The following is a 25,543-nucleotide window of genomic DNA, read 5'->3' as shown; positions in this document are numbered from 1 at the left end:
CCCCGTCTCTACCAAAGAAAAAAAAAAGAAAAGGAGCTGGGCATGGTGGTGCACACCTATGGTCCTAGCTATGTGGGAGGCTGAGTGGGGGTGGATTGCTTGAACCTAGAGGTCAAGGCTACAGTGAGCTGTGATTGGATCACTGCACTCCAGCCTGGGCAACAGAGAGAGAAAGAGAGAGAGAGAGAGAGAGAGACCCTGTCTCAAAAAAAAAAAAAAAAATCGGAATCTGTCATTTTCTTGTACTTTATACTGGTCACGTTACTTAATCTTCTGAGCTTTAATGGCCTCATTAGTAAAATGGAGATAATAATCCATACCACGGAAGGATTTAGGGATTCAATGAGAGTCTACAGAGTGCACACGGTGTTGGGTTTGGCACAGGGCGGTGCCCAGTAAGTGGCAGCTCTTCCATCTGGGATCCTCTATTTCCCCAGGCCTGTGTCTGTGGCTGCTGCAGGGCCCTTCACTTATGCCATTTGCTGTCTGCTTTACCTGGAGGTCATGGGTGTAACTTTTTCTCATTCCAAGTAAGTGCAGCTCCTCAAATGTTTCTTGAACACCAACAACGGGGTCCATGTTGAGTGCTGAGGATACAGGAGCCACTCTGCTGCAGTTTTGCCCCTCGGGCACTCAAGGCCAAATGAGAGAGAGGAGCAGTAAGTCAATCCCAGAGCAGTCACTTCACAGGATAGGACAGGTGACAGCGAGCTACAAACATCTGCCTGGGGGAGTCAGGTGAGGGCTTAGGGGGCTTCACGATTTGAGCATTGCCTAAACTGTCTCATTCCAACAGGAACCTGGGTCCTATTCCCATCCTAGGAATCTGGGGGCCTGGGTCCAGAGCAAAAGCATGGAGCCCAAGACACACAGACAGTGTCTGCGGGGAAGCCTGGATCAAGAACTCAGCGACTGTCAACTCTGGGCCAAGTCCCAAGAAATTCCCAAGAGCCCAAGGCAGGCATTCGGTGCACTTGATTTATTGAAGGGGTCCTCTCAAGCCCAGGGGAGTGAGGGAGGAAGGAGAAGGCAGGGGATGCAGTCTCAGCTGGAGCCGAGCTTCAGCCTTCCTACAGAGCTCCAGAGCAGGAACCGCAGCACCGTGTCGGCTTTACCAGAAGACAAAGGGGCCAGGCTTTTGTACCCTGTGCCAGTCAGTCATTAGCTCTGGGTTTTGGAGAAGGTGGTGGGTGTGCCTGGGTGAGCCAATTCCTGCTGGGCTGATGACAATTCTGTAGGGGAGGGCAACCCTGAGCGCCCTGAGCCCACACTCCTAGCTCCCAGAGGGTGGGTGCCCCGGCCCAGCACACTGTCCGGGTGGAGGTTTACCCCAAGGATAGTAGGCAGAGGCAGAACTTGGCGGGAACAGCCACATGGAAACTAGACATAGAAGGCTTGTTTTGTTCTTGTTGTTGTTATTTGAGACAGAGTCTCGCCCTGGCACCCAGGCTGGAGTGCAGTGGTACCATTTCGGCTCACTGCAACCTTTGCCTCTCGGGTTCAAGCGATTCTTGTGCCTCAGCCTCCCGAGTAGCTGGGATTACAGGCATTCGCCACAAGCCTGGCTAATTTTAGTATTTCTGGTAGAGACAGGGTTTTACTATGTTGGCCAGGCTGGTCTCAAACTCCTGGCTTCAAGCGATTCACCTGCCTCGGCCTCCCAAAGTGCTGGGATTACAGGTGCAAACCACTGCGCCCGGCCAGGATATAGAAGGTTTTAGAATTGCATTCTCATCTTGAATTGTCCAGCTTCCAAAACTGTGACAATTTAATTGTTGTTTAAGCCACCCAGTCTATGGGAATTTGTGACAGAGCCCAAACTGACTAAGACGACTTTCTTCCTAATGTTGGGAGACGCTTCTCCCATGGTCTCTCCCTCTCCCATACAGCTTGTCAAGCTCTGATGTCTCTTTATCTGGCCATTTCTCAAGGTTGTGTTGGAACAAGCACCTTTGGGAGATGAGACAGTGTCCCTTCCCCAGACAATGAGCAGGCTGCTGTGGGCAGTTGGTTCCCCTGGCCCTGTGTCCTCTCTTAGGTGTAGCCCACTGTGGGGGGGGGGGTGGGCTCCCGTCTAGACCTGCCTGCATCACCGCTGATGGCCTTGGAGCTCAGGGAGCCAAGGTGATCATGCTGACACTCTGGCTTCTGCTCTTGCTGTGAGTAAGGCCATCATTAGTCCCTGACTCAGGAGTCTCTCATCTCGCAGCCCCATGCACCAAGGCAGGCCAACTCATTAGCTTACAAGGAGGGACCATCTCAGCTCTTCACAGCCCTTGGCATCCAGCATTAGTCACTACCACTTCCAGCTGCCACAGCCTATGTATGTGCCACAGACACATGGGAAATTCCTCCCTCAGCCTCTTGCCGACACCCAGAATACCCACAGGTCTCTTTGTCTATCTCATTTCTTTCCTCTCCCAAACCAAGTAGTGTTTCAGGCTTCCCTTCACATCAGGTGTCTTCACAGGACCCCTTGCCCCTACCTCTGTCTGAAGTGGATCCTCCAGCAAAGCCTACAAAGCCCTTGTGACCTACACTCACTGCTCTTGGTCCCAACTCAGAGCTCTTCCCCATCGGAAACTTTCACTGGAGCAAAGTCAAATGTTTCTGCTCCCTGAAGTTGATGCCCCTTGATGCTGTTCTTTCTGCCTGGAATTATCCTTCACTGTCTTTGCCTCATTCTTCAAGACTGATTTCCAGAGACACTTCCTCCAGGAAGCCTCCCCTATGGTCTAGCTAACTCAATCGGCTTCCCTTATACCCTCATTAGGTGCCCACTGCATGTTACACACAACAGCATCAACTAGTACCATAGGTACTGGCCAACTTCCTTGCCCTTCCAATACTGTGGGCTCCCTAGAGGCAAGAACTGTGTATTACTCTCCCCACTATGTGCAATGCCTAGCTGGGGTGGTGTTCAGAAATCTTTCTTTTCCTTCCTTCCATTCTTCTCTCTCTTTTCCTTCCTTCCTTCTTTCTCTTTCCTCTTTTATCCTTCCTTCCTTCCTTCTTTCTTTCCTTCCTTCCTTCCTTCCATTTTTCAACAGGGTCTTACGCTGTGGCCCAGGCTGGAGTGCAGTGGCACAATCACAGCCCACTGCAGCCTTGACCTCCTGGGCTCAAGTGATCCTCCTGCCTCAGCCTCCTGAGTAGCTCAGACTACAGGTGTGCACCACCACACCAGGCCAGAAATATTTCTAGAAAGAAAAAGAATGAATGAATGCCCACCCTTTGCACAAATACTTCACTTACTACCACTGGCCAAAGTGATCTCATTCCTCTGAACTGCCATGGGACTTTGTGACAGTCTCTGGGGAATGTTTCATGTTTCTCATCTCCAGCCTGGCTTTGTGATCCTCACTCACAGCCCTTGAGGGTCAAGGTTGTATCTATTCCTTGTTTAGATGGATCTTATATCACTTTGGAGTTTTTCTGGCTTTCAATTTTGTAGGTGTATTATTTTAAAATCCCAGAAACCTAATCCAGGGATAGTAAGAAGAGTTATGGAGTTTGTTAAATTTTATTTAGGTTAAGGGATGAATTTCCATTCAGTGCTGAGCATATGCTAATTTGCATGTCTATTTCTAACATAATAACCAAATCAATCTCCTGGGAGAAGAGAAGGGCATTGTGTTTTTCACGTCCCTCTGTCCATTCACTGTCTCTGAGCAGGTTTCAGGAGGTAAATTCATTCAAGATTCAACAAATATTTATTGAGTGTCTAATAACATTCCTGCCCCAGGGACCTGGATGATGTCCCAGTCAATGCATCGGCAGGGAATGAAGCTTTGATTTTTCTTATGGGGCAGAAGCCTGAACAGAGCCTCCACTGCAACATCAAAGTGCAAGCTGCCAAGCAGCTGATCTGAAAAATCTGAGAACCCAAAGGGACCATGAATAAACATATGAATGGATGGATGCCTTTTGACAGCTCCACCTAGAATGCAATTTGCCCTACTCCACTTTCTCCACTCATCAGAGCACACGTCTTCCAGAATGTTCAGCAGCTCAGCTCAGAGAAGGGCTCTCTCTAGGCAGTCACGAGGGTGGAAAGTCTCCAAACAGTGGGCAGAACAGCACCCGGGCAACAGTGCTGACAATCGCCTGTAAGAAGAGAGAGCAGGGCTTCCTTTGCAAGACACCATAAATTTCTTTCCAATCTTAGTTTAGTTCCTTGGGAAAGAAAGATAACTTCTTTGCTTATTTTGTCACTTGTGTATTTGTGAGATGGAAAATAACATTATAACGGGATGAGGAGTCCAGTCATTTTTCTCTTTCTTTTTTTGAAAACAGGGTCTTGCTCTGTTGCCCAAGCGGTAGTGCAGCTGCACATCATAGCTCACTCTGCAGCCTTGAACCCTCGGGCTCAGTGATCCTCCCACCTTGGCCTCCCGAGTAGCTGGAATTACAGGGGTGAGCCACTGTGCCCAACTGTCCAGTCATTTCTCACCACACACCATTGAGAGGTTCAGTGGGTTCTGTGGTCTGAGATCCAACATCCAAACAAGTGGTAAAATTTGGAGAAAGGGAGGTCTCAGTTAGGACAGTGGTATGGTGCAGTGATTAAAAGTTTGGTTCTCAGCTGGGCGTGGTGGCTCACTCCTGTAATCCCAGCACTTTGGGAGGCCAAGGTGGGTGGAACACCTGAGGTCAGGAGTTCAAGACCAGCTTGGCCAACATGGTGAAACTCTGTCTCTACTAAAAATACAAAAAAAATTAGCCGGGCATGGTGGCACATGCCTGTAGTCCCAGCTACTCAGGAGACTGAGGCATGAGAATCACTTGAACTGGGGAGGTGGATGCAGTGAGCCAAGATTGTGCCACTGCACTCCAGCCTGGCCAAGAGCGAAACTCCATCTCAAAAAAAAAAAAAAATTTGATCTTAAAGTCAGACAGAGAAGGGCTCTAGTCCTACTGATACCACTTATGACTTGGGGTATCATAGTGGGGGAAGCTGTAGATCACCTTTGAGCTCATTTACCTCATCTGTAAGTCAGAAACAATAACCCTACCTGTCATTGTGCTTTAGCTGGTCTCAACACTCCTACCCTGTTTGATGCACCCCTCAAACAGGTGTGTGGCTTTCTCTGATGCACGCCCCTACGCCAAGGAGAGGTGTGCTGGACTTTGATCTGTGTTTGTGTCAGGCTCCTTTACTAAATAGGGAGCACATTGTGGGCCAGTACTTGGCCTCATTCATCTCTGTATGAGGGACACGTGATTTGTCCACAAGTGAGTGTTCTCTCCCTCCTCTTACCCCCAACCAGCTCAACATAATTTTCCCTTTGTCTACTCAGATTTTCCCTCTTTCCTACCCTCTAAAAAAGAGTTTAGTCTATACTGGGCAAGATAGAAAATGTCTGTGGAAACCTAGGTAGAGGGAAACAGAACCTCAACTGCAGGAGGAAAGAGAGTAAGATACAGCCAGAGAGGCTAAGTTAAGCTACAGGCGGAAAGATGACAGATCCTGGGAAAAGCAGAGAAGGAAGACAGTAGGGAAGCCAAGCAGGCCAGGCATCAGGAAGTGTTTGGAGGGAATTGGGCAAGTAGGATGTTCTGGGGCATCTGCTATCTGCTGAAAAGAGACAAAAGAGAAGCTGGAAAGGTTTGGGGGGTTATGAATTTGTTCCCCATTAATAGTCTTTAAAAGATGCAAGACGGCCGGGCATGGTGGCTCTTGCCTGTAGTCCCAGCACTTTGGGAGGCTGAGGCAGGAGGATCACTTGAGGCTAGTAATTGGAGACCAGCCTGGGCAACATAATAAGACCCCATCTCTACAAAAAAATGTAAAAATTAGGTGGCACTTACCTGTAGTCCAAGCTACTCATGAGGCTGAGGTGGGAGGATTGCTTGAGCCCAGGAAGTTGAGGCTGCAGTGAGCCGCAATTGCTCCACTGCACTCCAGCCTAGGTGACAGAGTTAGACTCCTTCAAAAAAAGAAAAACTATGCAAAAGAAAAATTATAATTTAGTTTTAATTAAGTTTAATTATTTTGGGACTGTGTGTTTTTAAATGTGTCTCCATACCTAAACTAAGCCACATGGGGCCCCAAAATGTATCTGGGTTACACCAATCTCTTCAGAGCCTCGGAGGGTATCTGACACATACCAGATATTTCAACTGGTGAGCTGAACCAACTGTCTAATGCTGGTGGCTTGGGAAATACTTAAAACCTTTTCTTGTTGTCTGAGCCACTCCCATCATCACAGCCACACTGCTGTCACAACAGAGGGAGCTACTGTACAAAGGCACAGAATTTTGGAGGGACATGCTCAATCTGATAATAGATACCTTTAGGGGTATATTTTCAGCCCTCAATAATCTCCTGGGAGCTGCCTTTCTATTACATGACAATGACCTCCCCACAGTAGGTAACCTGATGAAGGCAATCAGATTCATTCTCCTTGGAGCTTGGAATTGTGACTAATGCATTGGTCTCAGATTGGGCTGGTTAGCTTGAGCAGATACATAAACCCAGAGGCTATGAAGCAGCTGGGTTTGTCCTCACGTAGGACAAAGCAGTGAGTCTGTCTGTAGAGTGGGAGAATGAGAAGAACAGAGAAATGAGACAGGGGGCAATCAGGCCTGTATCCCTGGGTCTCTCTAAGACGGCTTTCCAATAAAGGTCCATTGTGGCTGAAGCTCATTTGAGGTAGGTTTCACTTACCTGCAACCCAAGGCAATGACATCAGTGCCTTGAGCCACAGTCCCTCAGCATTGCTGGTTGTCCTTCTGCCAGTCTTGTCCTCTTAGCCCTGGGCAGGACAGGAAGCTGTGGGAGGAAACACCTCATGCTCCTAGGGGCTTCGTAGGCAGGTGTTCCCTTCCAGGCTGCTCTAGTGTCCGCTGTCTCAACTGGGTCTTCCTAGCCTGGCAAAGAGGAGAAGAGGTTAAAGCCCTCACTGTTTCCATCTCCCTTGACACCAATGAAAAGAAAAACAAGAAAAACATCTCTTCCAAAACAGCAAGTCAGCAGAACCAGCGGAGGAGCAAGTCATCAATTTTTTTCTAGAAAACTGGCAAACACTTTTCAAGGGTGTTAAAGATAATCAGACACAAAAATAAGACTTAATTAGGCACTAGTTTTGCCCTCAAGAAAACTGAACCCAAAGATGAAAACGTGTAGGCTTTGAAGAGAGCATTCTGGAAAATCAATAAAAGAAGTCAGTGCCATCTGACTGCTAATTTTTTTTTTTTTTTTGAGACGTCTTGCTCTGTCACCCCGGCTGGAGTGCAGTGGCACAATCTCCACTCACTGCAACCTCCACCTCATGGGTCCAAGCCATTCTCCTGCCTCAGCCTCCTGAGTAGCTGGGACTACAGGCATGCACCACTGTGCTCAGCTAATTTTTGTATTTGTAGTAGAGACAGGGTTTCACCATGTTGGCTGGGCTGGGCTTGAACTCCTGACTTCAAGTGATCACCCCACCTTGGCCTCCAGAAATGTCTTCCAACAGAAATGCTGCACCCAGCCTGATTGCTAATTTTTTAGAGTGGATATTTTGTCTCACATTTCACCATGGGCTTTGGAAGATGAATTCACATGCCTTTCTCTCTTCACTGGGCATTTTAACAACATTGTAAAATCCATCAGCTAAGATTTCTCAAAGTCCCCCAAACCAATCTAGCTCCCTTTTTACCTGCCTTTGTATACTGGGGCTTGTATAAGATTTTATTTCAAAAGGGGTTCTGCAGCTACCAATGGCCTCGGAAACTCTTACGGACAGCACTCCAGAAGGAAGAAATGAGGCAATGTTCACTTCTTTTCGAGGCATTCATCACATATCTGGACCACTGCCTCCAACCCCACCCGCCAAGTTCACCATTTCCCTTGCGATGGAAGGAAAAAGCCCTGGCCCACGGGGTTGCTCTGAAAAGGTGGCCAATTCACTTTCTTTTTTTTGTTTGTTTCCTTTTTTGAGACAGAGTCTTGCTCTGTCGCCCAGGCTGGAGTGCAGTGGCACGATCTCGGCTCATTGCAACATTCGCCTCCCGGATTCAAGCGATTCTTCTGCCTCAGCCTCCGGAGTAGCTGGGATTTCAGACACTTTCTTCTTTCACTTTTACTGACAGAAACTTGTTCAGAGGAGAAAGCCCAGGTGCTCTGGCCTGAGGCTCTGACCAAAACTATCTTCGACATCACTTTAAACAGTTAAAGAAGTAGTAACTTTGAAGGTTTGGCCGGGGTGTGTGTGTGTGTGTGTGTGTGTGTGTGTTGCCAAAGATGGCAACTTCCGGATAGGTCTTTGCTTGATAAAAAGATATTAGCTGCCTTTTCAGTTGTGGAAGTTGAGGCCCAGGACACAGTTTGAATGAGGTGGCTGGGGCAAAGGAAGACAACGTCCATTTTCTGAGGAGCTATGCTGCAGAGAGGGTGAGTAGGTGGCCTGGGGACTGGGGAAGCTGGGGTTTCGGTGGGCAGGGAATAAAGGTCTTGGGAGGAAGAGGGGGCAGCACCGAGGCAGCTGGCCTGGGTCGAAGGAGAAGTGGCCGGAGACCCTCCGTGCTGTAGATGGGAGGTGAGCTCAAGGACGCGATGTCAAATACTCAAGTTCCTGAACCCCCCTCCAACACCTCCAAACCTTCAGTAATGCCTGTGGTGTGCCTGCCTGGAAAGCACACTCGAGGGAGGGCTGGAGGAATGTTCTGGAGCAAGCCAGGGGCCACAGAAACATGGAGAGGGGGCAAGAATGTGCCCAAAGATGGTCACGGAGGGGCTGGGGACAGGTTTCGGCAAGAGAGTCCCCAATTTGCCTTCTGCCCCAGAACTCCTCAGACAGAGTAGGGACAGCCCTGGACTTAACACATTTATGTGGGAAAAGAGTGAGAGTTATTTTGGGTGTTAAAACAGCTGGTGATCCCAGAAGGTGGAAGAACTTGGGGATAATTGGGACATGAAATGATCTACAGCAGTTGGTGTTCTAATCTCTCTTTCCTTATATCTCTTCTTTCCTTGCTTCCATTTTTCACATCTTGTATTTCTCTCTTCAAGGAAATGATATATTTCTTTTCAGTGCAAATCCAGTGTCTGCTCTTGATTTTGAGCTTTCTCTCTTTTGTCTCTCAAGACGTACAAAGCAGCTGCCAACTATTCCATGGTTTCCCAGCTGGAGAAGCCCTACCTTCACAGCATCCTTGAAGCAGACACCCCAAGGGAGCACCTACCTGGGGCACCCCAGGCTGGCACCAACATACAAAGTGGTCAAAAATGTGCTGTTACCCTTCAAGGGGCTGCTTAATAAATCACAGTTTTACTTCCCTCTTTGGTCCAAAAGTTTTGAGAGAGAGAGCGAGCACATGTGTATGTGTCCTTCACAGGACACCATAAGAAAGTAAAGAGACAACCCATAAGATGGGAGAAAATATTTGCAAATTACATTTCTGATAAGGCATATCTGATAAACGCTTACAACTTAATAATTTTTTTTAAAAAATGACCCAATTAAAACCGTTAGCAAAGGGTCTGAATCGACATTTCCCCAAGGTAGGTAAACATATGGCCAATAAGCACATGAAACTATGCTCAACACCATTTGCCATCAGGGACATGAAAATCAAAACCACAATGAGATACCACATCACACCTAACAGAGTGGCTAAAATTTAAAAAGACAGCAAGAACAAGTGTTGACAAAGATGCGGAAAAATATTTGGTGGTGGTGGAAAAGATTTATTTTGCTGGTAGAAACTGCTAATGGAAAAGGTTAAGCATAGAGTTAAACAATTTTTTTTTTTTTTGGCACAGGGCCTGGCTGTCACCTAGGCTGGAGCGCAGTGGCAGGATCTCAGCTCACTGCAACCTCTGCCTCCCACACTCAAGCAATCTTCCCACCTCAACCTCCCACCTCACCATTACCCTTGCAATGGAAAGAAAAAGCTTTATCAGATACACCTTATCGGATATGTAATTTGCAAATATTTTCTAGAGTAGCTATTTCTAGAGTAGCTAGGACTATAGGTGCCACCACGTCCAGCTAATTTTTGTATTTTTTTGAGAGACAGAGTCTCACTTTATTGCGCAGGCTGGTCTGGAACCCCTGAGCTCAAACAATCTACCTGCCTCAGCCTCCCAAAGCGCTGGGATTACAGGTGTGAGCCACCTCACCCAGCTAGAGTTACAATTTAACCGGACTGAAACATATGTCCACAAAAAAGCTTGTCCACAAATGTTCATAGCACGTTATTCAAAAAAACCCAAAAGTGGAAAAAACCCAAATGTCCATCGTTTCATGAATGGGTAATACATTGTGACATATCCAAACAATGGAATCTTAATTCAGCAATCCGAATGACTGAAAGACTGATATATGCTACAACATTGACAAAGCTTGAAAACATGCTAAGTGAAAGAAGCCAGACACTAAGCATCATAAATTCTGATTGCATTTGTATGAAATGTCCAGAACAGTCAAATTCATAGAGACAGAAAGTACGTCTATGGTTGCCTAGGACCGGAGGTGGGTGTGGATGGGGAAGGGACTGACTGCTGCCAGGTACCACGTTTCATCTGGGATGATGAAAATGCTCTAAAACTGATTGTGGTGATGGTTGCCCACCTCCGTGAATATTCTAAAAGCCATTAAATGATTCACTTTAAATGGGTGAATGATATGGTATATGTGTTATAAAAAAAATGTAGGCAATGTATTGTTTTCTCTAAGACTTCTAAGCACTTGGATTTTTTGTTTGTTCAAACTTTTATCATTAACTTCTAGTATTCTGTCATTGTGGTCAGAGAATGTTGCCAAAATAATTTCTTTGAAATTAATTAAGAATTTCTTTGTGGCTTAGTGTATGATCAATTTTTATTAATCTTTTTCAGTATTTGAAATGTACATATATTTAACGACTTATTGAGCACTTAAGTATGTCAGGTGCTATCCTGGATACTTCACACACATGAGCTCTGCTCTCAATTCTGTAGTGGCCACCTTCATTTCACAGTGGTGGTGCCGAGGCCCACAGGAGTTAATCCCAGTTCCAGTGAACGGGGGTCCTGGGAACTGAGCCCTAGCCTGTCTGGCTCCCAGAAGCCTGCTCACCGCACTTGGTCACAATGCCCTTTTAAATGGTTTTTGTTGATGCAAATGGCCTTTCCTTTGACAAGAGCATTGGGTCATTTCTCTCCTTATCTGGGGCTCACATTGATGTAGTTAAAAGACTATTTTGCAGGAGCATTTCCTTCCTCACATTATTGCTTCAATTCGGCAGTTAAAACTTGACTAGTGAATTTGAGACATAGAAAATGCAGAAAAAAAGCAAAGTGATTCTCAAAAGGACCTAGAAGATGTGAATAAACTGAAAGACCATGTAACTGAATGGATAAATTGAATATGGTTAGGCTAGCCAATTTCCCCCTGATTAATATATCGTACATTTAATACTCCTGTGAGATTTTAAAAACTTGTCTAAATAACTCTGAAATTCATCAGAAAGTAAAATCATAATCTGAATAGCTAGAAAGTTTTTAAAAACTAGAGTAATGGAAGGGTCTTATTCTACATAATATTAAACAGTGTCATGAAGCCATGCTAAAGATGCAGGAAGATAGAAGAGGGAATTTGATGCTTAACTCTGTGGAACAAAGTAGATACCACTGGGGGAAAAAACCCAAGTAAAAGAAGAACTAAGTGTCTGACATGTGGCATTTAATTCAGTGAAGAAAGAGAATATTGTTTAAAAAATGAGGCTGGGATGATTGGTTAGTTATTTTGGGAAACATTTTAACTCCTCACTACATAAAACTTTAAAACTTTGCAATACTAAAAACACTATTAACAAAATTTTAGGACAAACTTTAGATTGGAAAAATTTGTAACAAATATGCTATATGGTTTTGATTTATAAAGGGCTTTTACAAATCAGTGAGAAAATTGCTGACATCTCCCAATGGACAAAGGGCATACATAGGCTTTAAAAGCACTGAATGTATAAATAGCCAATAAGCCAAAAAAAGAAGGTTCAGCTTCTGCACTAATTGAAGAAGTACAAATCCAAACAAATAAAAAATAATTAACTGTTGAAAGACAAAATTTCCTATTTGCCGTTGTTCACTGTAATAGTTTTGGCAAAATCTTAGAAAAACAGCATTCTCATTGCTAATAGGGATATAAATCCATGAAAACTTCCTGGGGCCAATTTGAAAATATACCTCAAAAGACTTAAAAATATCTATTTATTGCGATCTAACAATAATAGTACTAGGAATTCTTCCTTTAAAAAATGGAAAAGGGAAAGGAAAGGAAAAGAAGCCGTGAATACCAAAATAGGGGATTAGTAAAACATGTCAGGGCACAACCATTCAATAAACTATTTTGCAGCCTTTAAAAATGATGTAGGAGGGTCAGGAGCGGTGGCTCACACCTGTAATCCTAACTCTCTGGAAGGCCAGGGTGGGAGGACTGCTTGAACCCAGAAGTTCAAGACCAGCCTAGGCAACATACTGGGACCCTATCTCTGTAATAAATAAAAAATATATCCGGGTGTGGTGACTTACGCCTCTGGTCCCAGCTACTCGGAAGGCTGAGTCAGGAGGATTACTTGAGCCCAGGAGTTGAGGAGCTGAGGCTGCAGTGATGGTCCTGCCACTGCACTCCACCCTGGGCATCAGAGTTAGACCCGCCTCAAACATCAAAAAAAAAAAGATGTAAGAGAGGAGAACTGGAAAAATGCTTCAACGTGCAAGCCTTCTCAAGTGGGTTGCCTGCAGGGCTGTGTTGGGAAGGTTTCTGAGGTTTTTTCTGGGTGGGAGCAATGTCATAATTGATGGGTTACTTTCCATCCCCGTGATAAAAAGCCACATAATGATATGTAAAGATGTTCAATTTTTGTTAATTAAAATTACATGAATATACACATTAACAAGGACAGAAAGACCCCTTGGCACACTGCAGTAAGAAGGGCACCCCTGTGACGTTCTCCCCCAAAATCCCTAACACAAGTGCCATTATGAGGAAAACATGAGACAAACCCCAACTGAGGAATATCCTACTGAAAACCTGATCAGTGCTCCGTAAAAATGCAGTGATCACAAAGAATAAGAAAAGACTGATAAACTCACAGAGTGGAGGGGACTGAGGAGACTGGATGACTGAATGCTCTGTGGAGTCCTGGATGTGATCCAGGATTGGAAAAGGACATTCATGGACAAACTGGTGAAACCCAAATAAAATCTGTAGTTTAGTTAATAGTCTTGTACCAGTGTTAACTTCTCCATTTTCACAAATGTAGCCGTGGTTTTGTAAGATGTCAACATTACAAGAAGCTGAGTAAAGGGTAATGGGAACTCTCTGTACTGTCTTTACAACATTTTGTAAACCTAAAATTATTACAAATTTTTAAAATGTTTAAATGGAGGGAATGCTAAAAATGAGTCTACAGTTAAGCAAATATTCAGTCTGGTGTAATGCTATTCAGAGTTTTTTTTTCTGATAATCAATACATAGAACATTTTATTTTTCATTGCAATGACTTTTTAAAACTTAATTTTTAAAATTTTAGATTTGGGGTAAATGTGCAGGTTTGTTACATGGATATATTGAGTGATGCTAAGGTTTGGGCTTCTATTGAACCCCTCACCCAAATAGTGAGCATAGTACCCTATATGTAGCCTTTCAACCCTTGCCCTCCCACCTCCATCTCTCTCCCCACTTTTGAAGTCCACAGTGTCTATTGTTTCCGTCTTTATGTTGGTGTGTATACCTATTGTTTAGCTCTCACTTATAAGTAGGAACATGCGGTATTTGATTTTCTGCTTCAAATCACACATTTTTTTTAAACTAGTCATATCCAATAATAAAATGCTAGTGTTAGTGCAAGGCAGTAATAGATGTTATTTTTGTTTCCTGTATTTTAAAATTTCCTTCCATATACATATATTAATAATTGTATTTAACTATTTTAAAAATCATAAAGAGAAAAAGCAACATACTCTGGTCTGGATTCAGAAAAGTCCTCCCAGGGCCAGCAGACCGCAACCCTTGTAGTCCAAGCTGGCACTGAAAAGGCAATGAGATGCACGCTGGAGAGAAATGGAGAGCTTTCCAGGAAAGCCAAGCATTGCAATGCAAAGTGCGTTCAGGCTGTGAACCACAGTGGGACAAAAAGGCCTTGAGAACTTTTGGCAAAAGTACACTCCGTGCGTGAGCAAGAAAAGCATCTCACAGAGAGAAAAGCATCTCTCTCCGTGTCCTTCGACGGCCAGGAAGATGTGCAGCCAGGAGGCAGGGAAGGTTTTCCAGGCTCAGGTGGCCTGGTGCCAGGCCCTGAAATGGGAAGAGCAGAAATGTGGTCTGGCTACTTGGTGTGAACAGGACAAATGGGAAGTGGGCAGTGTGCAGGGGCAAAGCAGGCAGAGCAGCCCCTGGCTGTCAGTTATGGCCAGGACAGGACAGTGTGGCCAGACCAGGCAACGCTGAGGTGCATTCAGGGGGGTCTCTCTACCCGTCCATCATTCTTGGAGCCCCGCTGTGTTCCCAGCACAGTGCTGAGGGTTAAGGATACTGGTGTGTCCTGCCTGATGGCACCCTGTCTACTGGGGGCAATGACATGCCCAGTCCCATAATGAAGGTAAGTACAGGGAGAATAGGTGGCAAGAGTGAGAAGCATGCCTGCCCTCGCACAGCAGCAAAAGGCTCAGAGGTGGGTGGAGAAGCAGCCAACCTGTGTAGGTCCAGCTCCACGGGCAGAGCACAGCTGGGTAAGGTTTCTCTCCCCACCTTTGGAGGTCATGGGCCCAAGGGCAAGCCTTAGCACAGCCAAGCTTATCTCCTATGATAGATCAGTCAGAGAACACAGGGATTCCATTTCCTGGCAGTCACTCAGAAACTCACAGCAAGGGGATCTGCTCAAATGCAGTGGTTTTGGCTCGATTCCCTTCCATAGTCCTAGTGAAAGTGAGGTTGGGTCATTGCTCCTTCACTTAACATTTTCATGCTTAAAACCAACATCTGCTGAGCACCTACTACGTGCTAGATGACACCAATCCCAAAGCGCCCTCTTCAGGCAAGCTAAGAAATGGACAGGGCCGACCTAAGTGGGGTCTGGGTGGAGATCTAGCTAAGGGGCAGCCTGCAGAACTTCTGGCTTGGCGAGGGCCCCAGGCAATCCAGCAGTGTGACATTTAGTATAATGTGGCCTCAGTTTCCACAGATTCACTAGTCTGTGCCTTAAAAGAAAAAAAAATATGGCAAAAGAAGCCTTTTCAGAGTCAAAAGGAAAATTCAGATAATCATTGTGCCTTCAGGAGCTGTCTCTGATTGCTATGGAATCAGCCTACGGGCAAAAACCAAATGATAGAAGATTTTAGGACGATAGTGACTATTTAAGACTTTTCAAAGAGGATTTCAAACGAGTGTGGGTGGCAGGGCACCCAGAAGTCATGAGACCTGGAGCAAGTTTTCTACCATTCGAAACCCGAGTTTCCTCTTCTCTATAATGGAGTAACCATAAGTGTACCTATTTCATGGGGCTGTTGCAAGGATGAAATAGACAATGTCTATTTCTCACTTCACGCCTGGCACATATGAGGACTCAGCAGGTGTTAGATATTAGCTGAATACTGAAACTCCATGACATGTTGATATATTAAATTCCATCATACGAACTCTGAATAATTTTACCAAATGCAAAAACGGTCATGTTCCAAGTATGCAAGCATTCTCACCTCATTAATTATACTTAGGTTATACTTTCTTGAACTTTAAAAATTCATATCACTTAGCATTTGTGTGTTTATCTGGTAGCAGACGAGAGGACCAGCCACTAGCAAAGGTGTACAAGCACTTGCTGGAAAAGTTTCTTCTGTCAGTCCATGCCTCTTTTCCTGTGACTTGGAAAACAGTGGTCAGCATTAAATCACAGAAAGACTCCTCCGGGCCTGCTTCACCAATGTTCTTTGAAAACGTAGTCTTAGAGCCAGTAGATTTGACTAAATATTTAAAAACCACTTCCTTCAATTTTAAAGAGAACCCATTAGAATGTATAATGGGGCCAAGAAAATCACCCAGCTTTCTGCCAACCTTTCCTAAAAATACAGTCCATCTGAGAATTCCCAGAACTCAAGAAAAACTGCAAATGTTCAGGCTGATGAGCTCGACAGCAAGACACGAGGTTCTGCTGCTTGAGGACCTGTTGTTTATCTTGTTGAGGGATGAGATGCTTTTGAGAGTGGAAAGGGCCCTATTAACAATGATGCTGGAACAGCAGACATACATGCAGCTTGTCCCGGGCAAACAGGGCACAATGTCTCCTCCTCCACAGGCAGCTAAGCTCCCCAGAACACTTCTGCGCTGCAGGCAGTGCGGACACACGAGTGCACATGCCTGCTGCCCACCCAGCCATGTAGTTGGTGAGGAAAGTGAGGGAGATAGACAGTGGCTCAACATGCATTAAGACAGCTCAGAGGCTGGACAGGCTGGTGTAGATCAATATCCCGCAGAGCCCTCACTTCAGCTGAAGACACGGACCCTTCAAAACAAGCACTGTATTTCCTAAAAGAAACCAGAATTTGGGAGTCAGTATCAAAGGAGGCCTCCAAAGCCTTCCTGGCGGAATTACCAAAATGATTCAATCCAGTTCATGAGCCAGTCCATAAATGGTGCTCCTGTGCCAGATGCAGTGACCAGGGCTGGGGACCCAGGAGAAGTAAGGTGCCATCTATGGAGGGGACAAAGCTTTATGCCCATATACACAGGTTAGAGTGACTGGCCTCAGACCAGAGGCAATAGACAAGCCACAGTCTTGGGGGAACCAAGGAGGGAGGGAAGGACTCCACCTGGCAAGGCCAGGGACGCTTGGCCTAGGAGAACTGAGCCTGGAGGCTGGGGTGGGGGCCAGGAAGCAGACCAGGAGCGGCGCACTGTCTGCAGAGAGAAGGGGGTACACAGCAGGCTTAGAGACAATCAGTGTGGTTTCAAGAACAAGGTTAATGCATTCAAGGGATGAGCTGAATAGGAGAGAAGAGATTAGGGGCATGTTCCAGGCCTGCCTTCAGTAACTGTGGGGACTGGAGGTGCCCGGCCCCTGGTCTATTCCCTTCTCTTCCTTCCCTGTCCCACCCTGCCACCATTTCTTAGCACAAATGGTCCATGAGCATGTATATGGACAGGTCAGCCCAATCCCTCCACACCAGCTTGCAGACAGCACCTTGCTGTCCACCCTCAGGCCTAGGGTGCATGACTTGCCGCACAGTCTTCTTTGGAGCAGATGGAGCCAGGAAGGAGGTTCTCACAGAGCTGGGAGCAGGCTCAGGGCGTTGGGACAGGTATTCCAGAATCCTGGGACCTGGCGCGTGGTCTTGAAAGGGGTGCAAAGGCTCTGATAAGTAGATCCCCTAAGCCCCAAGGACTCCTGAGAGAGGGGTACCTGGAGAGGACCAGAGCAGGGTCCCCTGAAGTATAGAGCTCAGGGCAGGACTACGATTGCCCAGGACTGAGGGTGGTTCTTACCAGAACTTCTCCAGTCCTTTTGAAAAGGTACCCCCCGCCCCACCAAGGCCCACTGGTAGGAGGGCCCCTGCCCCCATTCCTCCAAATCCTGACTGCCCTCTCCTTTGCAAGGACTCTAGCCCTGCAGCTGTTCTCAATACCCTCCAGTACAGCCCACTACCAGGGGCATGGTCACAAATGTGACCCCCAGGTCTGAGATTGGAGCCTCCTTGCTGGCCCTTGGAGAACACTCTCAATTCCGGCAGCTTCCCTCAAGCAGGTGACCATCCTCAGGGTCTCACCTAGACGTCCTGTCAAGGCTTTCAACCCTCACCTGTAAAAACCCTGATGCCCACTTCTACCCACAAGATTCTGATGCAATTAACACAGGAGAAGCCCAAGAGCAGGAATTTGTAAAAGCTTCTGGGGTCACTCTGTATTGAGGACAACCAGAGTGAAAGGTCACCCTCTCTGCCTGTAGTAAGTGTGTTTTTTTTAACATACACACACACACACACACACACACACACACGTTTTTTGTTTTAATTAAGAACTCACACACTTTCTGTTCAGAAATGGAAAGTTTTTTGGAGTTCTACAGGAAATGCTCTGTCCCCAAAGCTACACTCATACATTCTTTCTTGAGAAGAAATCTATATATCTCTCCATCCATTCATCACACACAAGGGGCTGTGCCTTGTGCCAGGTACATAGGATACAGCTGTGTGGGCGGCAAGCCACCCAGGCGCCGAGGCAAGGGACAGAGGACACGAGCTGTTCCAGTATAATAAAATCTAAAACAAGGATAGTTATACCAGATATAGATCTTAGATATGATTATATATGAATATCATTAATCATTAGTTTGTAGCAAGTACTTTTTATTCCAATATTATAATAATCCTCGCTCTATAATCATAGCCTAGGAAAAACCAGGCCATACAGAGATAGGAACTGAGGGGACATAGTGAGGTGTGACCAGAAGACAAGAGTGTGAGCCTTCTGTTATGCCCAGACGGGGCCAGCAGAAGGGCTCCTTGGTCTAGCGGTAACGCCAGTGTCTGGGAAGACGCCTGTTGCCGAGCGGACGGTGGTCTAGCAGTAGCCTCAGTGTCAAGGAAAAACACCGGCTGCTTAGCAGACCGGGAAAGGGAGTCTCCCTTTCCCCGGGGGAGTTTAGAGAAGACTCTGCTCCTCCACTTCTTGTGGAGGGCCTGACATTAGTCAGGCTCGCCCGCAGTTATCCGGAGGCCTAACCGTCTCCCTGTGATGCTGTGCTTCAGTGGTCACACTCCTAGTCCGCCTTCATGTTCCATCCTGTACAGCTGGCTCTGCCTTCTAGATAGCAGTAGTAAATTAGTGAAAGTACTAATAGTCCCTGATATGCAGAAATAATGGCATAAGCTGTCTTTCTCTCTGTCTCTTCTCCCTCTCTGCCTCGGCTGCCAGGCAGGGAAGGGCCCCCTGTCCAGTGGACAAGTGACCCACGTAACCTTACCTATCATTGGAGGTGACTCACATTCTTTACCCTGCCCCTTCTGCCTTGTATCCAATAAATAACAGTGCAGCCAGACATTCGGGGCCACTACCGGTCTCCGCACATTGGTGGTAGTGGTCCCCCGGGCCCAGCTGCCTTTTCTCTTGTCTCTTTGTCTTGTGTCTTTCTTTCTACACTCTCTCATCGCCGCAAACAGGGAGAGATCCACCGACCCTGTGGGGCTGGTCCCTACACAGCTGTGAACAGGACAGATAGTCCCAGCCCTCAGGGAGGGTCCACTGGAAATGAGGGAGACATGTTAGATGAGGAATCACTCAGTTATGTATTACACTGCAATTACAGCAAGTGTTTCAAATGGAAGACAAGGAAAACCCCTAAGTGAAGGGCATAACTGGACAACCTGCCTAACCAGGAAGGGCCTTCCTTGGAGAATCAACATCAGAGCTGATCAGCAGGACAGACAGGACTCACTGAGGGTAAGGATTGCTGAGAAGTTAGGAGGTATCAGAACATTCTAGGCATGGAGTTCTTGAGGGAGAGGAACCCAAAAGACCAATATGGCTGGAGTGTGGAGAGACAAAGAGAGAGAGGCAGGATGGGGCTGGAAAGCAGAGATCAGACTTGGGCGAGGTGAGGACTCGAGTATGTATCAGTTATCCATTGCTGTGTAACAAGTTACTGCAAACCTTATCAGCTTCATACAACGAAACTGTATTATCTCACAGTTTCTGAAGGTGCTAAGTCCAGAGCACCTTCGCTGAGTGGGTCTAACTCAGAGCCTCTCATGAGGTTGCAGTCAAGCCATCTAGGATGTCTCTACTGGGGAGGATCTGCTTCTGAGAGGGCTCCTGCACTTGGCTATTGCCTGAAGTCTTCAGTTCCTCCCTGCATGGGCCTCTCTGTTAGGCCGCCTGAATGTGCTCATGAAGTAGCAGCTGGCTTCTCCCAGAGCAAGGGATCCAGGGGAGAGGAGACCCATGAGGGAAGCTGAAGCCTTTTATAACCTAATCTTAGAGGCAGCAAACCATCCTTTCTGCCATATTTTATTGGTCAGAAGGTATCATGAAGTCCAGTCCACACTAATGGGAGAGTGTCCCATAAGAGTGAGCATAGCAAGGTGTGGAACCATTTGGGGTCATCTTGGAAGCTGAACCCACAGGGAGCACATTCCGATTTTATTTTCTTTTTTCCCCGTCTTTTTTATTTATTTACTTTTCGTTTTTCTTTCTTTTTTTTTTTGGAGATGGGGTCTCACTCCATCATCCAGGCTAGAGTGCGGTGGCATGATCTTGGCTCACTGCCACCTCCACCTCCTGGGCTCAAGCCATCCTCCCACTTCAATCTCCCAAGTGGCTGGGACTACCAGCATGTGCCACCAAACCTGGCTAATTTTTTGTATTTTTGGTAGAGATGGGATTTTGCCATGTTGCCCAGGCTGGCCTTGAACTCCTGAGCTCAAATGATCTGCCCACCTCGATATCCCAAAGGGCCAGTATTACAGGTATGAGCCACCATGCTCAGCCCCAATTTTCATTTAAAACAAAATCACATGTTCCCAAGGGAATGTTTTGGTATAATAGGAATGTTTTATGTCATGTTTGTGATAGAGGTTATGCAGCTGCATACCTTTGTCAAAACTCATCGCATTATGAATCTTCAGTGCATTCTGCTGAGTGATAGAAGTCAGACTCAAAAGGCCATATACTGTGACTTCTGTTTCTGGGAAGGTGGAGTAGATAAACTTTTCCCTATTCTTTTCACTAACTACAAATAAATGCCCTAGACATTATATACATATGTGTGTGTGTATATATATATATACACATAAAATAAACACAAGATTTATATATATAAAATATATATATTTTACATATGTATGTGTAAAATAAACACAAGATTCTGAAAGACAGAGAGAAGGTGACAGACTGGCTAGACATCTTGGGACCTGAGTGATGACACTGGGTTTTCTTTTTGTCCCTGTATATCCCAGATTTGGAGCTGAAGAGGTGGCCTTCTAGAAACACCAACCATCATAGACAAGAAGAGCCCCAAGAAAGGCCCCTCCTCTCGAAGGCAAAGCACCAGGGAAGGGGCAGCCTAGCAAGACAGAAAACTTTTAGACAATTACTGCTCTACTCCAGCAAAATTATCATAGAAAAAAACTGTGCTCTCCCCATTCATGCCAGCAAAGACCAAGTGGGGAGCTGGCAGCCAGGCTGTAAGGAGGCTCCTAACACCTGTCCAGAGGTGGTGTCAAAAAAAACCAAGTTGGGGAGCCTGCACTTCCATCCCTGTCAGTTGGAAATGAAACCCCAGCTCTCCAGTGTCAGAGGAAACCCTACAGGGGGCCTGGCCTTCCGTTCGCTCCTGGCAGTAACGGGGTGCCCCTTCCCTTCCTCACTGGGGCAGTGTCAGAGGAGGCCAAATGGAGAGTCAGAACTTTCACGGTCTCCTGGCAGTAATGAGGCCACCCCGACCTCGGAGACGAGGGAGTCAGAACTCCCACCCTGCCCCGTAACAAGGAACCTCCCCCCTTGGGTGTCAGCAGAGGCTTGGTGGGGAGCCTGAGCTGTGACCTCCACCTGGCGGTAATCAGGTGGTGCCTTCCGCCTCCCCTGCAGGAGCAGTGCCACAAAAAGCCAGCTACAACAGGAGGTTGAAATCAGAGCCAGAGTCTCATTACATCATATGAAAATGTCTCATTTTCGATTACAAAAATCACTTGGCCTATTGAAGAACCAGGAAAATGTCAAATTTGGAGAAAAAAGACAATCAATAGATGTGAACATTAAGATGACTGAGATGCTAGGATCATTAGACAAAAATTTTAAAGAAGCCCTGATAGAAATACCTCAGTGAGCAATAAAAATGAAAAACTTTTGCTCTACAAAGATCCTGTTAAGAGAATGAAAAGACAGGCTGCCAGAGTGACAGAAAATAGTTGCAAATCACATATGTGACAAAAAATGAATAACTAAAAAATACATATAAGATTAACCTGGCTATTCAAAAAAAATTTTGGAGAGAAGTGGTTCTCACTTTGTTGCCCAGGCTGGTCTTGAACTGTTGAGCTTAAGCGACCCTCCTGCTTTGGCCCCTGTATTTGTCCATTTTCACCTTTCTGATAAAGACATACCCAAGACTGGGCGATTCACAAAAGGAAGAAGTTGAATGGACTCACAGTTCCACATGGCTGGGGAGGCCTCACAATCATGGAGGAAGGTGAAAGTCACACCTCACATGGTGGCAGACAAGAGAAGAGAGAGAAGCGAAAGTAGAAACCCCTTATAAAACCATTAGATCTCATGAGACTTATTGACTACCACCAGAACAGTATGGGGGAAACTGTCCCCCCGATTCGGTCATCTCCCACTGGGTCCCTCCCACAACGCATGGGAATTATGGGAGTACAATTCAAGATGAGATTTGGGTGGGGACACAGAGCCAAACCATATAGCCCCCCAAAGTGCTGGGACTACAGGCACGAGCCACTGTGCCTGGCCTATTTTTAAACTCTCAGAGCTCAACAGTAAAAAAGAAAACAATCCAAGTAGAACATGGACAAAAGATGTCAAGAGACATTTCACCAAAGAACATACACAGATAGCACAGAAAAAGATGGGTAGCATCATAAGTCACTAAGGAAATGCAAATTACAGCCACAATGAGAGACCAACATGCACATATCAGAATGGCTAAAATAAAACATAGTGACAACACCAAATGCTTTCCAGGGTGCAGAGAGATTGGATCCCTCATGTGTTGCTGGTGGGAATGTGAAACAGTACAACCACTCTGGAAAACAGTTTGACAGTTTCTTTAAAAACTAAACATGCAACTACCATATGACCAGCAACTTTACAGGCATTTATCCCAGAGAAATGAAGACTTTGGTTTACACAGAAAACTGTATACAAATGTTTATAGCAGCTTTATTCATAGGAGCCCCAAACTGGAAACAACTCAGATGTCTTTCTATGGGTGAATGATTACACAAATTGTACTACCTCCTACCATGGGATACCACTCAGCAATAAAACGGGACTAAATATTCATGTACTCAACAACCCGGATGACTCCCCAGAGAATTATGCTGAGTGAAAAAAAGCCAGTCCTTAAAGTTTCCATACTGTATGATTCCACTTACAAAACATTCTTGAAATGATAAAATTATAGAAATGGAGAAACAAATAGTGTTTGCCAGAGGCTAAGAAGGAAATAGGAGTGAAAAGGACGCAGATGCAGTCATAAAAAGTCAACAGTGGCCGGGCGCGGTGGCTCACGGGTGTAATCCCAGCACTTTGGGAGGCCGAGGCCAGGCGATCACTTGAGTTCAGGAGTTCAAGACCAGCCTGGCCAACATGGTGAAACCCTATCTCTACTAAAATACAAAAATTAGCCAGGCTTGTTGGTGGGTGCCTGTAATCCCAGCTACTTGGGAGGCTGAGGCAGGATAATTGCTTGAACCTGGGAGGTAGAGGCTGCAGTGAGCCGAGATTGTACCACTGTACTCCAGCCTGGGTGACAGAGTGAGACTCAGTCTCAAAAAAAAAAAGGTCAACAGAGGGATCTCTGTGGTGATGGAAATCCTCTATGTCTTGACTGTATCAATGTCAATATCCTGGTTGTGATATTATCCTGTAGTTTGGTAACATGTTACCACTGATAAAACTGAATAAAGGATATAGGGGATCTCTCAGAAACATTTCTTACAATTGTGTGTGAATCTACAGTTATTTCAGAATAAAAAGGCAGCATATGTTATCACTTCACTTATATGACACTCTGGAAAAGGGAAAACTATAAGAACAGAAAATAGATCTCCATCTTCCAGGAGCTGGGGGTGGGCTGACTTGTAGTTGGCCACGAAGGGGCAGGTGGAAATTTTGGAGTGATAGAAATGTTCTACATCTTGATTGCAGTGGCAGTTACATGAGTGTGTGATTCACAGAACTCAGAACTGTTTACTAAAAAGGACGTGTTATATTGTATGTAAATTATATCTCAATATAGCTGTTTTTAAAAAAGATCACGGCCAGGGACAGTGGTTTACGCCTATAATCCCAGCACTTTGGGAGGCCGAGGCAGGTGGATTACCTGAGGTCAGGAGTTCAAGACCAGCCTGGCTAACACAGTGAAACCCTGTCTCTACTAAAAATACAAAAAATTAGCTGGGTGTGGTGGTAGGTGCCTGTAATCCTAGCTACTCGGGAGGCTGAAGCAGGAGAATCGATTGAACCTGGGAGACAGAAGTTGCAGTGAGCCAAGATCGCACCACTGCACTCCAGCCTGGGCTACAGAGCCAGACTCTCAAAAAAATTTTTTTAAATAAATAAATAATTAATTAAAAAGATCACGTGCCCAAAGCACTGACTTTCCCCATCTTTTTAGCCTCTGAACTCTTTTTCCAATGAAATCTTATATGGATTTTTAAAAATCTGTAAAACAGATAAAATTGAGACCCCTACTTAAGTTGCGTAGGGGACGTCCTGTTGATTCGCTTCCTCCACCCCAGGCAGCCCCCAGCACCCTCGGAAGAGTTGAAGCAGGGCCATCGAATCCTCTGGTTCTGTGGTTGTGGGACCTGAGGCGGCAGCTTGGGGAAAAAGGCTTCAATCCATGAATTGGGCTTCCTAATCAGCAACATGGAAACTAAAGCCAGCTCCACGCAGCAGCATGTGAGGTAAGGAATCTTCACCGTGAACTGAGAGCTTCACTGCATGGTGCAGGGGAAGGGCCGGCAGGAGCGGCTTTAGTATTCAATAACTAAGCTCCGTGAGGCACCAGCATGGTGCCACTGAACTCCATGGGAGGCAGCCCAAAGGCACTTAAATGAAAATCGGGGCCAGGCAAGGTTGCCTTGGCTGATGATGGCAGAGAAGGCCATGGGAACGAGTCCCAGGAGAGAGAGCTGCAGTCATCACACGTGGGCTGGCCCCTGCCAGCTGCAGCCCCCACACACTGCTTTCTGTCTGTCCCTTGCTCCAAAAGGACCCTGAGAATTGCTTATCTTACAATTACTTTAGAAGCAAGAAGCTCTCTTGAGGCATCTACATTTTTTAGCTTCATCCTTAAAGAGAATCTTCTAGAGAGGATTCCTGTGGGTGCTTCTAGGATTTGCTGTATCACTTTCTGAATGATCCCAGTGAATCCTGCCTCTGTGATTTACCCCAGCTTCGCAGCTGTTACCTGTGTAGTCTCCCGCTCTTGGGTGCTTCTTTCCTGAATCCATTTTAGGTGATGGAAATTTGTGAATTTGGTGTTGACAGGAGGGTTTCCGAAGAACGGACTTCCCAGAGGGCAGAGCCAGGCCACTGGATTCTAACAGCCAGGGGCTCGGGGGTGGGGGCACCCTCCTTTGCCAGACGCACAGTTCTGTTGGCTCCTTCTGTCTCTAGACATATGCTGCAGAGGAATGTGTTTGGAGACAGAAGCCGCCTGATCACCATGGTGAAGAAGACATGCTGCTTGAGCGGTACAGGGCTCATTATATATTTAGCAGTAGCAATTAGCTGGGCTGCAGTTGGCATTCAGTTGGAGCACATTACTGGCTGGAATGAGCATCCTGAAGAAGGTGCAATCCCCAGAGAAGGGCCTAGATGAGATTTTGATGAGA

The 25,543-nt window shown here is 46.1% G+C and overlaps 2 long non-coding RNA genes across 3 annotated transcripts in view; one reads left to right on the top strand and one right to left on the bottom strand.

Moving 5' to 3' along the window:
• Nucleotides 1-230: 230 nt before the first annotated feature.
• The window catches only part of LOC105375233 (uncharacterized), a 34,903-nt gene continuing 9,590 nt past the window's right edge, over nucleotides 231-25,543 (bottom strand). For both annotated transcript variants that reach the window (NR_187893.1, NR_187894.1), the window contains exons 2-4: nucleotides 6,671-6,873; nucleotides 5,812-5,947; nucleotides 231-632 (exon numbers count right to left, since the gene is read on the bottom strand). This is a non-coding gene — a long non-coding RNA (uncharacterized LOC105375233). The remainder of the gene's footprint in view (nucleotides 633-5,811; nucleotides 5,948-6,670; nucleotides 6,874-25,543) is intronic.
• On the top strand, nucleotides 7,999-9,262 carry LOC124901616 (uncharacterized). The gene is made up of 2 exons (XR_007060288.1): nucleotides 7,999-8,377; nucleotides 9,072-9,262. It is a non-coding gene; the product is annotated as an uncharacterized LOC124901616 (long non-coding RNA).

This window comes from Homo sapiens, chromosome 7, assembly GCF_000001405.40.
Source record: "Homo sapiens chromosome 7, GRCh38.p14 Primary Assembly".
NCBI lineage: Eukaryota > Metazoa > Chordata > Mammalia > Primates > Hominidae > Homo > Homo sapiens.
The sequence above is the reverse complement of the archived record's forward strand: the minus strand, read 5'-3'. Positions and strand labels throughout refer to the sequence as shown.